Genomic DNA, 19982 nt, shown 5'->3' with positions numbered 1-19982 from the left:
CCAGCTCCCAACACTTCATCTCACCCCCACCTGCTGTCCACGTGCCAATGTCCATATGATCATGGCACTCTCCAACTCAATCTCCAGGCCAGGTTTCTCCTACAACTCAGACTGAAGGTCCAACTCCCTACTAACACCTGCAAGGAACGGCTTAATGAGAAAACCAACTTTCCAGCCCAGGCTCCTGCCTCTCTCTCCCTTACCATAAGCACATCAGTCTTATCTAGGTTCCTGGAGGATATCACACCCAAAATTTCCCACTTCAGGGCCTTTGCATGTGCTGTCCTCTCAGCATGGGAGACTCTGTCCCCCAATTTGTCTCAAAGCTAGCTGCCTCTCACATTCCAAAGATTAACTGAAGTGAGTTAGAAAAGTCAAAGGGGAGAGATATATACACCTATTGTGTACCCACAACATTTTAAAGTAAAAAATAAAAACAAAGGGAAGATAAACCAGAAAAAGGGACATCAAAAAGAGGTGAAGAGCCTCTTTCAGTGAACAGTGAACAGTGTCGGCAACTGCAGGGGCAAGGAGAAGCCAAGAGCAGGGCAGAGAGAGGCCATGAGGGAAGGGTGGATGAAAGAACAAGACACAGGAGAAGGGTCTAGAACAAAATCAGTGGGTACAGTGACAAAGAGGGGGCTGCAGTGAAAGGCAGGGACTAAATGGAAGTGACAGACTTGGGGGAGCTGGTGCTGACAGGTCAGGGAATGAGCAGCAAATTGGGAGGAGTCAGTAACAAGAGAGTGGACAAAGCAGGTAGGGAAGCTGCGAGTACACAGAGTGGCAGGTCGGGGGACAGTACGGTGCATGGGGGAAGGTGACAGGCTGAAGGAAGAGATGATGGGGATGGAAGCAACAGGGCAGTGCGGGGTAAGGTGAGGTTAGATGACTGGTGATATCTCAAGCCGTGATGGGGAGCGCGACAGGAAAAGACGAGTAGTGTTGGAAAGGGTTAGGAAATAATGGAAAGGGGAATCAGTGATTGGACAAGAGGGGTGATGACAGCGGGCACTGAAAGTTCTCCCACTGACAGGCAGGAGAGAAGCAGTGGGGAGACACTGACAGGTGGGGTCACTAACAGCAGGGCAGGGTACTAATGGGTCCCTAACAGATAAGGGATGAAGGAGGTAGCATGAAAGGGGACAGGAACTGACAACAGGGGAGAACTGATGGGGAGGATCTGACAGGCACTAACACAGAGGCCGATAGCAAAGAGCGGAAGGGCCACAACAGGCAGGATGAGGGAGACACTTATGAGGGAAACTTACTGACAGTGGGGCTCACTGACAGAGGCACTGGCACTGATGGGGGGCACTGACAGAGAAGATCAATGACAGGTGGGGACATTGCTGACAGAAGGGGTCACAGAGCGCTTGGACTGACAAGGAAGGGCACTGGCAGGGGAGGGATTATGCGGTCAGTGACTGACGGGTACGGGTGGGGGTGCAGGCACTGATGGGAAGTGGGGACATGACAGAAAGAAAATAATTGACTGGGGGGGCACTGGCTGACGGGGGACAGGGATGCGGGACTCTGACTGGGGGACACTGATGGGGAGCAGAGTGGACTGACGGTGGGGGAGCACTGACCAACAGTGGAGGCACTGACCAGTGCGCGGACTGACAGATGCGGAGGCACTGACCGACAGGAGGAGCATGACTTGCAAGGGGCACTGACTGACGGTGGGGGGCACTGATGGGTGGGGTGGGGACTGATGGGTGAGGTGCAATGACTAGCTAGCAGGGGACACTGACTGGTGCAGGAAGCACTGACTGGTGTAGGGTGGGGGAACAGAAGGAGGGCACTGACTGGGGGGGCACTGACTGACTGGGAGGGAACTGACTGGAGGGGGCCCTGACTTGGGAGGAAACTGACTTGGGGGGCACTTACTGGAGGGGAACTGACTGGAGTGGGCACTGACTGGGGGCACTGATTTGGGGGGCACTGACTGGAGGGGGCACTGACGGGGGAACTGATTGCGGGGGGAACTGACTGGGGGGGCACTGACTGAGGGGAACTGACTGGGGGACACTGAAGGGGGCACTGACTGGGGGGAACTGACTAGGGGATGCACTGACTGGGGAGAACTTACTGGAGGGGCACTGACTGGAGGGGACAGTGACTGACTTGGGGGGGGCACTGACTGGGGGGCACTGACTGACTGGGGGAACTGACTGGAGGGGGAACTGACTGACTTGGGGGGCACTGACTGGGGGGCAACTGACTGGGGGAACTGACTGGAGGGGGCACTGACTGGGTGGGTCACTGACTGGAGGGTTCACTGACTGGGGGGAACTGACTAGAGGATGCACTGACTGGGGGGAACTGACTGGAGGGGGGCACTGACTGGGGGGGAACTGACTGGAGGGGGCACTGACTGGGTGGGTCACTGACTGGAGGGTTCACTGACTGGGGGGAACTGACTAGAGGATGCACTGACTGGGGGGAACTGACTGGAGGGGGGCACTGACTGGGGGGGAACTGACTGGAGGGGGCACTGACTTGGGGGGCACTGACTGGGGGGAAACTGACTGGAGGGGGCACTGACTGGGGGGGGGAACTGACCGGGGGGGGGGAACTGACTGGAGGGGGCACTGACTAGGGGGGCACTGATGGGGGGAACTGACTGGAGGGGGCACTGACTGGAGGGAAACTGACTGGGGGGAAACTGACTGGGGGGGAACTGACTGGAGGGGGCACTGACTGGGGGGAAACTGACTGGAGGGGGCACTGACTGGAGGGGGCACTGACTGGGGGGCACTGACTGGAGGGAAACTGACTGGGGGAAAACTGACTGGGGGGAACTGACTGGAGGGGGCACTGACTGGGGGGAAACTGACTGGAGGGGGCACTGACTGGAGGGGGCACTGACTGGGGGGCACTGACTGGAGGGAAACTGACTGGGGGGAAACTGACTGGGGGGAACTGACTGGAGGGGGCACTGACTGGGGGAACTGACTAGAGGGTGTACTGACTGGGGGGGGGAACTGACTGGAGGGGGCACTGACTGGGGGGGGAACTGACTGGAGGGGGCACTGACTGGGGGAAACTGACTGGAGGAGGCACTGACTGGGGGGGAACTGACTGGAGGGGGCACTGACTGGGGGAACTGACTGGAGGGGGCACTGACTTGGGGGGGAACTGACTGGAGGGGGCACTGACTGGGGGGAATTGACTGGAGGGGGCACTGACTGGGGGGCACTGACTGGGGGGAAACTGACTGGGGGGGCACTGACTGGGGGGAACTGACTGGAGGGGGCACTGACTGGGGGAAACTGACTGGAGGAGGCACTGACTGGGGGAAACTGACTGGAGGAGGCACTGACTGGGGGAAACTGACTGGAGGAGGCACTGACTGGGGGGAAACTGACTAGAGGGGGCACTGACTGGGGGGGAACTGACTAGAGGGGGCACTGACTGGGGGGGAACTGACTAGAGGGGGCACTGACTGGGGGGGAACTGACTAGAGGGGGCACTGACTGGGGGGGAACTGACTAGAGGGGGCACTGACTGGGGGGGGAACTGACTGGAGGGGGCACTGACTGGGGGAAACTGACTGGAGGAGGCACTGACTGGGGGAAACTGACTGGAGGAGGCACTGACTGGGGGGGAACTGACTGGAGGGGGCACTGACTAGGGGGAATTGACTGGAGGGGGCACTGACTGGGGGGCACTGACTGGGGGGAAACTGACTGGGGGGGCACTGACTGGGGGGAACTGACTGGAGGGGGCACTGACTGGGGGAAACTGACTGGAGGAGGCACTGACTGGGGGGAATTGACTGGAGGGGGCACTGACTGGGGGGAATTGACTGGAGGGGGCACTGACTGGGGGGCACTGACTGGGGGGAAACTGACTGGGGGGGCACTGACTGGGGGGGAACTGACTGGAGGGGGCACTGACTGGGGGAACTGACTGAAGGGGGCACTGACTGGGGGGGGAACTGACTGGAGGGGGCACTGACTGGGGGGAATTGACTGGAGGGGGCACTGACTGGGGGGCACTGACTGGGGGGCACTGACTGGGGGGAAACTGACTGGGGGGGCACTGACTGGGGGGAACTGACTGGAGGGGGCACTGACTGGGGGAAACTGACTGGAGGAGGCACTGACTGGGGGAAACTGACTGGAGGAGGCACTGACTGGGGGAAACTGACTGGAGGAGGCACTGACTGGGGGGAAACTGACTAGAGGGGGCACTGACTGGGGGGGAACTGACTAGAGGGGGCACTGACTGGGGGGGAACTGACTAGAGGGGGCACTGACTGGGGGGGGAACTGACTGGAGGGGGCACTGACTGGGGGAAACTGACTGGAGGAGGCACTGACTGGGGGAAACTGACTGGAGGAGGCACTGACTGGGGGGGAACTGACTGGAGGGGGCACTGACTGGGGGGAAACTGACTGGAGGGGGCACTGACTGGGGGGGAACTGACTGGAGGGGGCACTGACTGGGGGGCACTGACTGGGGGGAAACTGACTGGGGGGAAACTGACTGGGGGGGAACTGACTGGGGGGGAACTGACTGGAGGGGGCACTGACTGGGGGAACTGACTAGAGGGTGCACTAACTGGGGGGGAACTGACTGGAGGGGGCACTGACTGACTTGGGGGGGGCACTGACTCCGGGGGCACCGACTGGGGGGAACTGACTGGAGGGGGAACTGACTGACTGGGGGATAACTATCTGGAGGGGGCACTGACTGACTCGGGGAGAAGTGACTTGGGGGGCACTGGCAGACTGGGGGCCGGGTCTGAGCGGCGGGCGGCCGCACTCACCTGCCCTGCGGGCCGGGCGTCGCGGCAGCTCTTCGGAGGCCCGTGTGGAGGCCCGAGCGGAGGCCAGGGCGCTGGTGGAGGCAAAGCCCGGGCGGCCTCGGGCGGGCCGCACACACATGGGCCCGGCCGAGGGCGCAGCGCCTACGGACACCGGCACGGCCGGCCGGCGGCTCGAGACCGACTCGGGGCCGCGGGCGGCACTCCGATCGCTCCAAAATGGCGGCGGCGGCGCACGGGCACGCGCTCCGGGGGCGGGGTCTCCGCTTGGGGCGCGCACGCTCGCGGCCGGGGGCGGGGCCGCGCGGGTGGGCGGGGCCGGGACCTGGGCCGGCTCTCCGGGCCCCCTGGAGTGGGGCACTCGGTGAAACCCGCGTGGGAGCACGAGGGCTTGGGTGTGCTGACTGCTGCCTTGGAGTGGGTGGGGTAAGAGTGCGTCTTTCCCCTTTTACGTTTCCCTTTGAGGTATTGGCTAAAGTTTTGTGCAAGCATAGTTAATTTTGTTGTAGCCACAAAACAATCCTCGCGTGGCCCGACGCAGCATTTGAGAGACACACACCTGGGGCAGGGGTTTCCCCCGTGGCCCAGGAAAGGGCCTGTTCTCCCGGGCCTCCCTCCTGCCACAGGCCCCTCCCAGAGGCCGCGGGGCGTGGACGCCCCGAGCAGCAGGAGCGGGCTCAGCCCCGGGCGCCAGGCCTGGCCCCTCCCCGTCCCGCGTCCTGCCTGGACCCGGAGTGCCTGAGCCGCCTCCAGACAGTTTTCTCCAGGTGCGCTACGGGTTCTTGCACGGCGTTTTGCAAATTAAGTATGTGCCTATTTAACAAGTGCTGGAATTGTTTAATTCCATCAAAATAATTTCAAAAATGATTACTATTATTTCAGATGTTAGAGCGAGCCGTGGGTAAATGTTGGGAAAACATGGAGCACTTAAGGGATCTCTAAACGTTTTTTCCAGTTGTCAGTGTATTGCCCAGGATTCACCGATGCTCTCTGCGAAAGCGTATCTGGGCGGCTCAAATATTCGGTATTTCTCTTTTGCCAGCTGGCGCTGTTAGGCTTTGTCGGTAGAGGGCGCCAGAGACGTTGCAGGAGAAAAGGGCTTGGCCCTGCGGCTGGCGGCCCCGGGCTTCCCCGACGCCTGTCCCCTGCCCTGGTCAGCAGCACCCTCCTCGCCGGTTTTATAGCAGATGCCTCTGGCGAGCCTTTCCCCAGCAAAAGCTTTTCCCCTAGCATCCTAAGGGGCAGATTTCTGGCAGGTTCCGTTGAGGGAACTTCCAGGAAGTGGGGGTGAAAAAGCCTCAGCCTCACAACCTAGAGAAGAGACACCCTGCGTTCAGCAGGCTATGCCCTTCTCCTGCCCTCACCATGGTCTCCTTTGCAGGAGCGGGAGGTGCTGCTGAGTTGAGCTACGGAATGGGGACTGGGGCCAGGGGCACCAGATGCAGGAGATGCTCCTGCTGCCGTGAGCACGTGCAACTCTGCCTGATCTTGATACCCCTCCTGTGCTCAGCCAGTGCAACTGGGGTGAGCAGGAGCCCCTCTCCTCCTCTTTTTTTTTTTTGAGACGGAGTCTCGCTCTGTCGCCCAGGCTGGAGTGCAGTGGCGCGATCTCGGCTCACTGCAAGCTCCGCCTCCTGGGTTCACGCCATTCTCCTGCCTCAGCCTCCCGAGTAGCTGGGACTACAGGCGCCCGCCACCGCGCCCGGCTAATTTTTGTATTTTTAGTAGAGACGGGGTTTCACTGTGTTAGCCAGGATGGTCTTGATCTCCTGACCTCGTGATCCGCCCGCCTCGGCCTCCCAGAGTGCTGGGATTACAGGCCTGAGCCGCCGCGCCCGGCCAGCCCTCTCCTCCTCTCTCACCCACACTGGATTCATCACTGCAACATGTGGTAGCTCCACTACCAACATTCTGGTTCAAAACCAGTTTCTCTCTCCTGACTCCTGAGACCTACAGGGGCCCCCTGCTTCTATCCTGGAGTACTTGCTGTAGGTCAGCTTGCTGTAATCAGCAAAGCACCCAGAGGGGTCCAGTTAAAACAGATCCGATTGCCTGGGCACGGTGGCTCACACCTGTAATCCCAGCACTTCAGGAGGCCTAGGCAGGAGGATCGCTGGAGCCCAGGAGTTTGAGAACAGCCTCGGCAACAAGTGGGGCCCCTGTCTCTACAAAAAATTAAAAAACTAGCCAGGTGTGGTGATGAGCCTGTGGTCCCAGCTACTTGGCCGACTGAGGCGGGAGGATTGCCTGAGCCCAGGTAGTTGAGGCTTCAATGAGCTATGATGTTGCCACTTCATTCCAGCCCGGGTAACAGAACAAGACCATGTCTCAAAAAAATAAAGGGACAGGCGCGGTGGCTCACACCTGTAATCCCAGCACTTTGGGAAGCCGAGGCGGGTGGATCATTTGAAGTCAGGAGATCGAGACCAGCCTGGCCAACATGGTGAAACCCGGTCTCTACTAAACATATAAAAAATTAACCAGGCGCGGTGGCGGGCGCCTGCAGTCCCAGCTACTCGGGAGGCTGAGGCAGGAGAATCACTTGAACCCGGGAGGTGAAGGTTGCAGCGAGCCAAGATCACGTCACTGCACTCCAGCCTGGGCGACAGAGCGAGTCATTTATTTCATTTAATGAAATGAAATGAAATAGGTCACATCACATCTTCCCTACCCCTAGGAGCTCTTGCCTCACAGGCTGAACGACAAAGTCCCTGCTGTTGCCCACAGGGCCCTACATGACCTGAGCTCACCTCTCCTACTCCCCTTGCTCATGGCTCCCATCCCGATGACCTCCCGCCGTTGGCTGCTGCTGTCCCTGCATCCCCGCAGGGCCTTCCTTGGTCATTGCTGTGCTTAGGAGTGGCCTCTGGGACCTTGACTGCACTGTGCCCTTCCCTGTGGGGGTTTCCCTGGTCACTGTTTCAACTCACAATCATACGCACACACCACACACCACACACACACACCACACACCACATACCACACACACTACATACCACACACACGCGACACACACACCACATACCCCCCACACACACCACACACACACCACACCCTACACACACCACACACACCCGAGACACACACCACATACCACACACACACCACATACCACACACACCACACACACCACACACACCCTACACACACACCACACACACCACATACCATACACACCACATACCACACACTCCATACCACACACACACCACATACACACCCTACACACACCACACACACCCGAGACACACACCACATACCACACACATACCACATACCACACACACCACACACACCCTCCACACACACCACACACACCACATACCATACACACCACATACCACACACTCCATACCACACACACACCACATACACACCCTACACACACACCACACGCCCTACACACACCACACACTGTACACACCACACACTGTACACACACCACATACCACACATACTACATACCACACACACCACACACACATCACACACCACACACCACACCCTAAACACACACCACACACCCTACACACACACTACATACCACACACACGCCACATAACACACACTACATACCACACACACCACACAACACACACACACTACATAACACACACACCACACACCCCACACACACACCACATACCACACACACCACACACCCCACACACACACCACACCACACACACACTACATACCACACACACACCACACACCACACACACTACATACCCCACACACCACACACACATACCCCACACACACCACACACACACCACATACCACACACACCACACACCACCACATACTATATACCACACACACAACACACACCCTACACACACCACACACTACACACCAATCACACCACACACAACACACACTCGAAACATACACCACACACCCTACACACACACCACATAACACACACTACATACCACACACACCGCACACACCATACCACACACACCACACACACACTACATACCACACACACCACACACACACCACACACACACCACACACCACATACCACACACACCACACACACAACACACACCCTATACACACCACACACTACACACACACCAATCACACACCACACACAACACACACCGTAAACACACACCACACACCCTACACACACACCACATACCACACACACACTACATACCACACGCAAGCCACACACACCACATACCACACACTACATACCACACACACCACACACACTACACCCACAACACACACCACATACCACACACAACACACACCCTACACACACCACACAATCACACAACACACACAACACACACCGTAAACACACCACACACCCTACACACACACCACATACAACACACACTACATACCACACGCACACCACACACACCACATACCACACACACACCACAAACCACACACACTACATAACACACACTACATACCACACTACATACCACACACACCACACACCACATACCACATACACCACACCACATAACACACTACATACCACACACACACACCACACACACACACCACACACCACATACCACACATACTACATACCACACACACACCACACACCCTACACACCCACCACACCCTACACACCCACACACACCACATACCACACACACTACCACACACACCACACATACCCCACATAACACACACACTACATACCACACACATCACACACCACACACCACACACACACCACACACCCTACACACACACACACCAGACACCGTACATACACACCACACACACCACATACCACACACACTACCTACCACACATACCACATAACACACACACTACACACCACACACACACCACACACCCTACACACACCACACACACCACATACTACACACACACCACATACCACACACACTACATACCACAGACACCACACACCATATACCACACATACTACATACCACACACACCACACACCACAAACACACACCACACCAAACACACACACTACATACCACACACACCACACACCCTACACACACACCGCACACACACACTACACACACCACATACCACATACACTACATAACACACACATAACACACACTACATACCACACACCACACACTCTACACACACCACACACCCTACACACACATACCACACACACCACATACCACAGACACTATATACCATACACACACCACACACCATATACCACACACACTACATATACCACACACACACCACACACCACACACACACCACACACTACACACCACAAACACACCACACACTTCACACGCACCACACATAGACACAAACACACCACACACACACACCAACACACCACACACACCCCCGACACACACTATACCCACACAGCACACACACACCTCACACATCGCACACACATACCACACACACTACATACACATGCACGCACATGCACACACACCACATACCACACACCACACACACTACACATCACACACACCACACACACCACACACATCACACCACACATACACAAACACACCACACATACCCCCCACACACACTATACCCACACAACATACACACCCTACACAGCACACACACCCACACACACCACACACATCACACACACATGCACACACCCCACACACCACACACACTACACCACACAGACCACACACACCACACACCACACATACACCACACACAGACACACCAACACACCACACACACCCCACACACACACTGTACCCAGATAGCACACATGCCCCACACAGCACACACACACCCACACACACACCATACACATCGTGCACACTCCACATACCACACACACTACATACCACACAGTACACATATACCACACCGCACACACACCACACCACATATGGCACACACACACACACCACACACACCACACACACACTATACCCACACAGCACACATACCGCACACAGCACACACACCCCCAACACACCACACATCGCACACACACTACACAGACACACAGACCCCACACACACCACACATCGCACACACTATACACACACGCACACACCCCACACACCGCACACACACCACACATCGCAGACAAACACTACACACACTACATACCACACACACCACACACGTACCGCACACACACACCCCACACACACCACACATCGCACACACACACTACACACACACACCCCCCACACAGCACACACACACCCACACACCACACATCGCAGACACACACACCACACACACATGCAGGCGCACACACACACCCCCACATACCACACACCACACATGTACCACACACACTGCACACACACCACACACACACACCAATACACCACACACATACCCCACACACACTATACCCACACAGCACACACGCACACACCCCACACACACCACACATCGCACACACACACTGTACACACAGACACACCACACACACACACACACACACACTCTCTTCATCACCACCTTCCCTGCTTGGTTTTTCCTCCTTCAAAATTGTATCACTAGTTATGGTTCAATAAAGGGACAGAGACCACACAATGATTTCAACAGGGAAAGTTTGATATAAAAATATTATCAACAAGAGGGGATTAATTATAAAGTAATGAAGTTAAGTTTGTGTTCAAGAAAGGACAGTCTAGCCTGGGCAACACAGCGAGAGCCTGTCTCTACAAAAATTTTTAAAATTAGCTGGGCATGGTGGTGCACGCCTGTAGTCCCAGCTACTCTGGAGGCTGAGGTGGGAAGATTGCCTGAGCCCTGGAGGTCGGGGCTGCAGTGAACTGTGACCACGCCACTGTACTGCAACCTGAGTGACAGAGCAAGACCCTGTCTCTAAATTAATTAATTAAAATAAAGAAGGAACAGGCCAGGTGTGGTGGCTTACACCTATAATCCCAGCAATTTGGGAGGCTGAGGCAAGAGGATCACTTGAGGCCAGGAGTTTGAGACCAGCCAGGACAATACGGTGAGACCCAGTCTCTAAAAAAAAATTTTTCTCTACTAAAAACACAAAAATTAGCTGGGCATGGTGATGCACGACTGTAGTCCCAGCTACTTGGGAGGCTGAGGCAGGAGAATCACTTGAACCCGCGAGTGGAGGGTGCAGTGAGCTGAGATCGCGCCTTCGCACTCCAGCCTGGGCAACAAGAGCGAAACTCCATCTCAAAATAAAATAAAATAAAATAATGACCCTGCTGATAAAAGTTGGAGAAGACCTAAATAAGTTGACAGACATGTCATATTTTTGGTTAAAATTGGTTTAAAAATTCAGGCTGGACGCGGTGACTCACACCTGTAATCCCAGCACTTTGGGAAGCCGAGGTGGGTGGATCATGAGGTCAGGAGATCGAGACCATCCTGGCTAACATGGTGAAACCGCGTCTCTACTAAAAATACAAAAACAAAATTAGCCGGGCATGGTGGCAGGCGTCTGTAATCCCAGCTACTCAGGAGGCTGAGGTGGGAGAATGGCGTGAACCCAGGAGGCAGAGCTTGCAGTGAACCAAGATTGTGTCACTGCACTCCAGCCTGGACGATAGAGCAAGACTCTGTCTCAAAAAGAAAAAAAACATTCAACATTGTGGCTGGGTGCAGTGGCTCACGCCTGTAATCTCAGCACTTTGGGAGGCCAAGGCAGGCGGATCACGAGGTCAGGAGCTCGAGACCAGCCCGGCCCACATGGTGAAACCTCATCTCTACTAAAAATACAAAAAAATTAGTCGGGCGTGGTGGCAGGTGCCTGTAGTCCCAGATACTGGGGAGGCTGAGGCAGGAGAACGGCGTGAACTCAGGAGGTGGAGTTTGCAGTGAGCCAAGATTGCGCCACTGCTCTCAAGCCTGGGTGACAGAGCGAGACTCCATCTCAAAAAAAAAAAAAAATTAGTTGGGTGTGGTGGTGCGCACCTGTAGTCTCACCTACTCGGGAGGCTGAGGCAGGAGAATCACCTGAACCCAGGAGGTGGAAGTTGCAGTGTGCCGAGATTGGACCACTGCACTCCAGCCTGGCGACAGAGTGAGACTTCGTCTCAAAAACAAAACAAAACAAAACAAAACAAAAAACAAGGGCCAGATGCGGTGGCTGTCACCTGTAATCCCAGCACTTTGGGAGGCCGAGGCGGGCAGATCACAAGGTCAGTTTGAGACCAGTCTGGCCAATATGGTGAAACCCCGTCACTACTAAAAATACAAAAATTATGGCTGGGCGCGGTGGCTCACACCTGTAATCCCAGCACTTTGGGAGGCCAAGGCAGGTGGATCACCAGGTGAGGAGATCAAAACCACCCTGGCTAACACGGTGAAAACCCATCTCTACTAAAAAAAAAAAAAAAAAAAAAAAAAATTAGCCGGGTGTTGTGGCGGGCACCTGTAGTCCCAGCTACTCAGGAGGCTGATGCAGCAGAATCGCTTGAACCTGGGAGGCGGAGGTTGTGGTGAGCCGAGATTGCGCCACTGCACTCCAGCCTGGGCGACAGAGCGAGACCCTGTCTCAAAAATAAAAACAACTCAACATTGTTAAGATAGCAATTCTCCCCCAAATTGATCTGTGGATCCAATGTAATCTCTGGCAAAATCTCAGCAGGTGTTTTTTATTTGTTTGTTTGTTTTTTGACACAGAGTCTCACTCTGTTGCCCAGGCTGGAGTGCAGTTGGTGCGATCTTGCCTCCTGGGTTCAAGCGATTCTCCTGCCTCAGTCTCCTAAGTAGCTGGGACTACAGGCACGCGACACCACACCCAGCTAATTTTTTGCATTTTTAGTAGAGACAGAGTTTCACCATGTTTGCCAGGCTGGTCTTGAACTCCTGAGCTCAAGTGAGCCACCCACCTTGGCCTCCCAAAGTGCTAGGATTATAGGCGTGAGCCACCGCACCTGGCTTCAGCAGGTGTTTTTGTTGGTGGTGGAAATTGACAAGCTAATACTGAAATCTGTATAGATATGCAAATGATCAAAATTGTGGGCGGCAAGCCACCCAGGTGCCAAGGCAAGAGACCAAAGAAACAAGCTGTTCCAGTATAATAAAGGAAACATATACGACGAGAAGCTATACTAGAAATAGATTATATATATGATTATATATGAATATTACTAATTATTAGCTTATAGCATTACTCTTTAATCCAATATTATAATAATCTTTGTTCTACAAGTATAACCTAGGAAAAACCAGGCCATACAGAGATAGGAGCTGAAGGGACACGGTGAGAAGTGACCAGAAGACAAGAGGGTGAGCCTCTGTCACGCCCGGACAGGGCCTCTAGAGGACTCCTTGGTCTAGCGGTAACGCCAGAGCCTGGGAAGGCACCTGTTACTCAGCGGACCAGGAAAAGGAGTTAGAGAAGACTCTGCTCCACCACCTCTTGTGGAAGGCCTGACATCAGTCAGGCCCGCCCGCAGCCATCCGGAGGCCTAAACGTCTCTGTGATGCTGTGCTTCAGCGGTCACGCTCCTAGTCCACTTTCATGTTCCGCCCTGTACACCTGGCTCCGCCTTCTAGATAGCAGTAGCAAAGTTAGTGAAAGTATTAAAGTATTTGATCTCTCCAAGAAATACATAAAAGAAATAATGACGTTACCTGTCCTCTCTCTCTCTCCACCTTGGCTACCAAATAGGGAAGGGCCCCCTGGCCCATGGACACGTGACTCGCGTGACCTTACCTATCATTGGAGACAACCCACACTCCTTACCCTGCCCTCTTGCCTTGTAAACAATAAATAACGGTGCTGCCAGGCATTCAGGGCCACTACCGGTCTCCATGTCTTGGTGGTAGTGGTCCCCAGGGCCCAGCTGTCTTTTCTTCTATCTCTTTGTCTTGCGTCTTTATTTCTACGATCTCTCGTCTCCACACACAAAAAGAAAAACCAACAGGCCCTGTAGGGCTGGACCCTACACAAAATAGTCAAAACAATTTTGAAAAAGAGCAAAGCTGGGGCCAGGCGCGGTGGCTCATGACTGTAATCCCAGCACTTTGGGAGGCCGAGGTGGGCGGATCACGAGGTCAGGAGATCGAGACCATCCTGGCTAACACGGTGAAACCTGTTTCTACTAAAAACAAAAATTAGCCGGGCGTGGTGGCAGGCGCCTGTAGTCCCAGGTACTCAGGAGGCTGAGGCAGGAGAATGGCGTGAACCCGGGAGGCGGAGCTTGCAGTGAGCCAAGATTGTGCCACTGCACTCTAGCCTGGGCGACAGAGCGAGACTCCGTCTCAAAAAAAAAAAAAAAGAAAAAGAACAAAGCTGGAGGACTTACACTACGTGATCTCAAAACTTACTACAAAGCTAGAATAATGAAGACAGGACAGAATTAGTATAAGGAAAAGCATATAGATCAAGGGAACAGAATAGAGAATTAAAAAAAACCCTCACAATTATCATCGATTGATTTTTTTAACAGAAGTGCTAAGTTTATTTATTTATTTATTTAGAGATGAGGTCTCACTCTGTTACCCAGGCTGGAGTGCACTGGTGCGATCACAGCTCACTACAGTCTCCACCTCCTGGGCTTAGGTGATCCTCCTGCTTCAGCCTCCCAAGTAGCTGAACCACCACACCTCGCTCCTAAGTCAATTTTATGGGAAAACAATATATTTTCAACAAATGGTATTGGAAAAACTGATTATCTATATAAAAAAAGAATTTAGGACTGGTTGTGGTGGCTCAGGCCTGTAATCCCAGCCCATGGGGAGGCAGAGGCGGGTGGATCACGACGTCAAGAGATCAAGACCATCCTGGCCAACATGGTGAAACCCCGTCTCTACTAAAAATACAAAAATTAGCTGGGCGTGGTGGTGCGTGCCTGTAGTACCCACTACTTGGGAGGCTAAGGCAGGAGAATCGCTTGAACCCAAGAGGTGGAGGCTGCAGTGAGCCAAGATCACGCCATTGCACTTCAGCCTGGTGACAGAGCGAGACTCCATCTCAAAAAAAAAAAAAAAAGGATTTAAACCTTATCTCCTTATCTCATACCATACACAAAAATTAATTCAAAGTGAATCACAGACCTAAATATAAGAGCTAAAAATCTTCTAGAAGAGGCTAGGCGCAGTGGCTCACGCCTGTAATCCCAGCACTTTGGGAGGCTGAGACAGGCGGATCACGAGGTCAGGAGATCAAGACCATCCTGGCTAACACAGTGAAACCCCGCTTCTACTAAAAATACAAAAAATTAACCAGGTGTGGTGGTGGGCACCTGTACTCCCAGCTACTCAGGAGGCTGAGGCAGAAGAATGGGGGGGTGAACCTGGGAGGCGGAGCTTGCAGTGAGCCAAGATTGCACCACTGCACTCCAGTCTGGGCAACAGAGCAAGACTCCATCTCAAAAAAAAAAAAAATCTTCTAGAAGAAACATAAAAAGTATTATTTGACTTAGGACCTTAGGTTAAGACATTTCTTAGATATGACACCAAAACCATAATCCATGAAAGAAAATGGTACATTAGATTTCATCAGAATTATAATATTTGATCTTCAAAAGATGCCATTAAGAAACATAAAAGATACCTGGGTGTGGTGGCATGCACCTGTAATCCCAGCACTTTGGGAGGCTGAGGTAGGAAGATTGCTTGAGCCCAGGAGTTCAAGACCAGCCTGGGCAACATGGCAAAACCCTGTCTCTCCAAAATAAATAAAATAAAATAAAATAGGGCCGGATGCAATGGCTCACGCCTGTAATCCCAGCACTTTGAGAGGCCAAGGCGGGTGGATCACAAGGTCAGGAGTTCAAGACCAGCCTGGCCAATATGGTGAAACCCCGTCTCTACTAAAAATACAAAATTATCCAGGAATGGTAGCATGCATCTGTAATCCCAGCTACTCGGGAGGCTGAGGCAGGAGAATTGCTTGAACTCGGGAGGCAGAGGTTGCAGTGAGCTGAGATCACATAATTGCATTCCATCCAGTCTAGGTGACATAAGCGAGACTCTGTCTCAAAAAAAGAAGTTAAAAAAAATAGGCAAAAAAGCTGCATAAACATTTTTTTAAAGAAGCTAACACAAATGACTTAGGAGCACATAAGATGCTCAACACCATTAATCATCAGGGAAATGCCAAACTCGCCCACAAGAAAGTACCACTGCAGACCCCCTCGAACGGCTGGAACAATAATACTAAGCGTTGGGGAGGATGTGGAGAACTGGAACCTTTATACATTCCTAGTGGAAATGTAAAACTGTTCGGAAAAGTTTGATAATTTCTCCAACATTTGAATATAAACTTACCATACAGCCCAATACTTTCACTCCTACATATCTATGCCAAAAAAATGGAAACGTGTGTCCACACCGAGACTTGTACACAAATGTCACAGCAGCATGAGTCATAATAAGCAAACACTGGAAATAATCCAAATGTCCTTCAAATGGTAAATGGACACGAAAACATCATATAAAATACTATTCACGAAAGGAATGAACTACTGGTACATGCAACAACATGCATGACCTCAAAAACATAACGTGAGGCACAAGAAACCAGGCAGAATAAACTAGATCGTCCATGCAGTAGTTTCCGGTTGCTGCTGACACAGGTCCCCACACACGTCATGGCTTACAACCACACGCATTTATTACCTTACAGTCCTGGAGCTCACAAATCTGAGATGAGTCTTATGGGACGAAAATCCAGATGTTGGCTTCCTCTGGGAAGCTCCAGGGAAAATCTATGTCCTTGCCTTTTCCAGCTTGTCCTGCATCCCTTGGTTTAGTGTCTTCCTCCATCTTCAAAGCCAGCAACTGACCATCTTCCAGGTTCTTTTTCTCAGATCCCAGCACCACATTGACTTCTCTGACTCTAAGCCTCCTCTCTTTCTTTTTTTCTTTTTTCTTTTCTTTTTTTTTTTTTTTTTTTTTTGAGACGGAGTCTTGCTCTGTTGCCCAAGGCTGGAGTGCAGTGGCGCGATCTCGGCTCACTGCAAGCTCCGCCTCCTGGGCTCACGCCATTCTCCTGTCTCAGCCTCCAGAGTAGCTGGGATAAGGGTGCCTGCCACCACGCCCGGCTTTTTTTTTTTTTTTTTGGTATTTTTAGTAGAGACAGGGTTTCACTGTGTTAGCCAGGATGGTCTCAATCTCTCCTGACCTCATGATCCGCCCGCCTTGGCCTCCCAAAGTGCTGGGACTACAGGCATGAGCCACCGCGCCCGGCTCTCTCTCTGTTTTTTTTTCGTTTCTTTTCTTTTTTTTGAGACAGAGCCTCAGTATGTCGCCCAGGCTGGAGTGCAATGGCGCAACCTCAGCTCACTGCAACCTCTGCCTCCTGGGTTCAAGCGATTCTCGTACCTCAGCCTCCCGAGTAGCTGGGATTACAAGTGCCCGCTACCACGCCTGGCTAATTTCTGTATTTTTAGTAGAGACGGTGTTTCACTGTGTTAGCCAGGATGGTCTCGATCTCCTTATCTCATGATCTGCCCGCCTCGACCTCCCAAAGTGCTGGGATTACAGGCGTGAGCCACCATACCCGGCCAACTACTTTTAATTATGTACAAATTAAGGTGCAAGTTATTCAGAAAGTTTTAGAAAAAGGTCGTTAACTTTGGGGTGGTTATCATGGGAAGCGGCAGTAACTTGTGGGTGTTGCCATGGCAATGGTAAACAGAGATGGCACTGGTGGGCATGTCTCATGGAGCGGTGCTTTTGCCTCTTCCCAGTTTCAGCCAGCTTTTTTTTTTTTTTTTTTTTTTTGAGACAGAGTCTCCCTCTGTCGCCCAGGCTGGAGTGCAGTGGTGCGATCTCAGCTCATTGCAACCTCCGCCTCCTGGGTTCAAGTGATTCTCCTGCCTCAGCCTCCCGAGTAGCTGAGACTACAGGCACCAGCCACCACACCCGGCTAATTTTCTGTACTTTTAGTAGAGATGAGGTTTCACCGTGTTAGCCAGGATGGTCTCGATCTGCTGATCTGCTCGCCTTTTCGGCCTCCCAAAGTGTTAGGATTACAGGCGTGAGCCACCGCGCCCGGCCTTCAGCCAGTCTTTAATCTGGTCTGGAATAAAGTTCTGCCTCCTACCTCAAAATCAGAGTACATCTTACAATGATGGCATGCAATAACCACAGGGGAAAAAAATGCTCAAGACCATTAGTAATCAGGGAAATGCAAATCAAAACCACAAGAATACCCAGGCACGGTGGCACATGCCTGTAGTTACAGCTACTTGGGAGGCCAATGAAGGAGGATCCCTTGAGCCCAGGAGTTCCAGGCTGCAGTGAGCTATGATGACATCACTGAACTTCAGCCTGGGTGATAGGATGAGATCTCTTCTCTATAAAATAAACAAAATTTTAAAAATCACAAGATACCACTACCCACTCATTGGCTGGCTACAATGAAGACGCTTGGCAACACCAAATGTTGGGAAGGATGTGGAGCAAAGGAAACATAAACTGTTGGTAGGAATGTTTCCATTTTCTTTTTTTATCTTTTTTTGAGACAAAGTCTCGCTCTGTCACACAGGCTGGAGTGCAGTGGCTTGATCTCGGCTCACTGCAACCTCCACCTCCCAGGTTCAAGCGATCTCATGCCTTAGCCTCCTGAGTAGCTAGGATCACAGGTGACCGCCACCATGCCTGGCTAATTTTTGTATTTTTTAGTAGAGACAGGTTTTCACCATGTCGGCCAGGTTGGTCTCAAACTCCTGACCTCAGGTGATCCACTAGCCTCAGCCTCCCAAAGTGCTGGGATTACAGGCATGAGCCACCTCGCCTGGCCTGGTAGGAATGTTTTTAAATGTATGGCTGCTTTGGGGAAAGCTAAACATATACCCAGGTTATGCCTCAGCAATTTGGTTTCTATGCACGCCCAAGAGAAATGAAAATGAGCCCAGGCAGCACGAGACCCCATCTCCACAAAAACGAACAAAAAATAAAAATAAAAAAATAATGGGGTATGGCGGCGTGTGCCTGTAGCCTCAGCTACCTAGGAGACTGAGTGGCAGGATAGCTTGAGCCAGGAGATCGAGGCTGCAGTGAGCTGCAATGGGCCACTGCACTCCATCCTGGGAGAGAGTGAGACCTTTCCTCTAAAAATAAAAATAAAAGCTATACAGTCGGGCCTGGCATAGTGGCTCACGCCTGTAATCTCAACACTTTGGGAGGCCGAGGCGGGCAGATCACCTGAGCTCAGGAGTTCGAGACCAGCCTGGCCAAAATGGTGAAACCGTTTCTACCAAAAATACAGAAATTAGCCTGGCGTGGTGGTGCACGCCTGTAATTCCAGCTACTCGGGAGGC

At 52.8% G+C, this 19982-nt stretch overlaps 1 protein-coding gene across 39 annotated transcripts in view, besides 7 other annotated features; it reads right to left on the bottom strand.

The window, feature by feature from the left end:
• PPP6R2 (protein phosphatase 6 regulatory subunit 2) overlaps positions 1-17556 on the bottom strand; it is a 114317-nt gene extending 96761 nt beyond the window's left edge. For 38 of the 39 annotated variants that reach the window (XM_047441645.1, XM_047441659.1, XM_011530737.3 and 35 more), the window contains exon 1: positions 4780-5003. The gene's annotated coding sequence lies outside the window, so the exon portion shown is untranslated. Of the gene's footprint in view, positions 1-4779; positions 5004-17334 lie in introns of those variants that run through there. The other variant, XM_047441654.1, reaches the window with a different exon arrangement.
• Positions 4743-4822: a silencer, noted in NCBI's record as "silent region_13978". NCBI's record gives its function as "represses an Ori minimal core promoter by ATAC-STARR-seq in GM12878 lymphoblastoid cells {active_cell/tissue: GM12878}" and the evidence as "EXISTENCE:reporter gene assay evidence [ECO:0000049][PMID:35858748]".
• Positions 4833-5112: a silencer, noted in NCBI's record as "silent region_13977". NCBI's record gives its function as "represses an Ori minimal core promoter by ATAC-STARR-seq in GM12878 lymphoblastoid cells {active_cell/tissue: GM12878}" and the evidence as "EXISTENCE:reporter gene assay evidence [ECO:0000049][PMID:35858748]".
• Positions 5383-5552: a silencer, noted in NCBI's record as "silent region_13976". NCBI's record gives its function as "represses an Ori minimal core promoter by ATAC-STARR-seq in GM12878 lymphoblastoid cells {active_cell/tissue: GM12878}" and the evidence as "EXISTENCE:reporter gene assay evidence [ECO:0000049][PMID:35858748]".
• Positions 5649-6295: an enhancer, noted in NCBI's record as "H3K27ac-H3K4me1 hESC enhancer chr22:50780464-50781110 (GRCh37/hg19 assembly coordinates)". NCBI's record gives its function as "activates a minimal SCP1, AML or CMV promoter by ChIP-STARR-seq in naive and primed H9 embryonic stem cells {active_cell/tissue: H9 hESC(naive and primed)}" and the evidence as "EXISTENCE:reporter gene assay evidence [ECO:0000049][PMID:30033119]".
• Positions 7478-7527: an enhancer, noted in NCBI's record as "active region_19317". NCBI's record gives its function as "activates an Ori minimal core promoter by ATAC-STARR-seq in GM12878 lymphoblastoid cells {active_cell/tissue: GM12878}" and the evidence as "EXISTENCE:reporter gene assay evidence [ECO:0000049][PMID:35858748]".
• Positions 14109-14238: an enhancer, noted in NCBI's record as "active region_19316". NCBI's record gives its function as "activates an Ori minimal core promoter by ATAC-STARR-seq in GM12878 lymphoblastoid cells {active_cell/tissue: GM12878}" and the evidence as "EXISTENCE:reporter gene assay evidence [ECO:0000049][PMID:35858748]".
• Positions 15847-16036: a silencer, noted in NCBI's record as "fragment chr22:50770723-50770912 (GRCh37/hg19 assembly coordinates)". NCBI's record gives its function as "represses an EF-1alpha promoter that drives an FKBP-Casp9 reporter gene in an ReSE screen in K562 erythroleukemia cells {active_cell/tissue: K562}" and the evidence as "EXISTENCE:reporter gene assay evidence [ECO:0000049][PMID:32094911]".

This window comes from Homo sapiens, chromosome 22 (assembly GCF_000001405.40).
Source record: "Homo sapiens chromosome 22, GRCh38.p14 Primary Assembly".
In the NCBI taxonomy this organism is placed as follows: domain Eukaryota; kingdom Metazoa; phylum Chordata; class Mammalia; order Primates; family Hominidae; genus Homo; species Homo sapiens.
The sequence above is the reverse complement of the archived record's forward strand: the minus strand, read 5'-3'. Positions and strand labels throughout refer to the sequence as shown.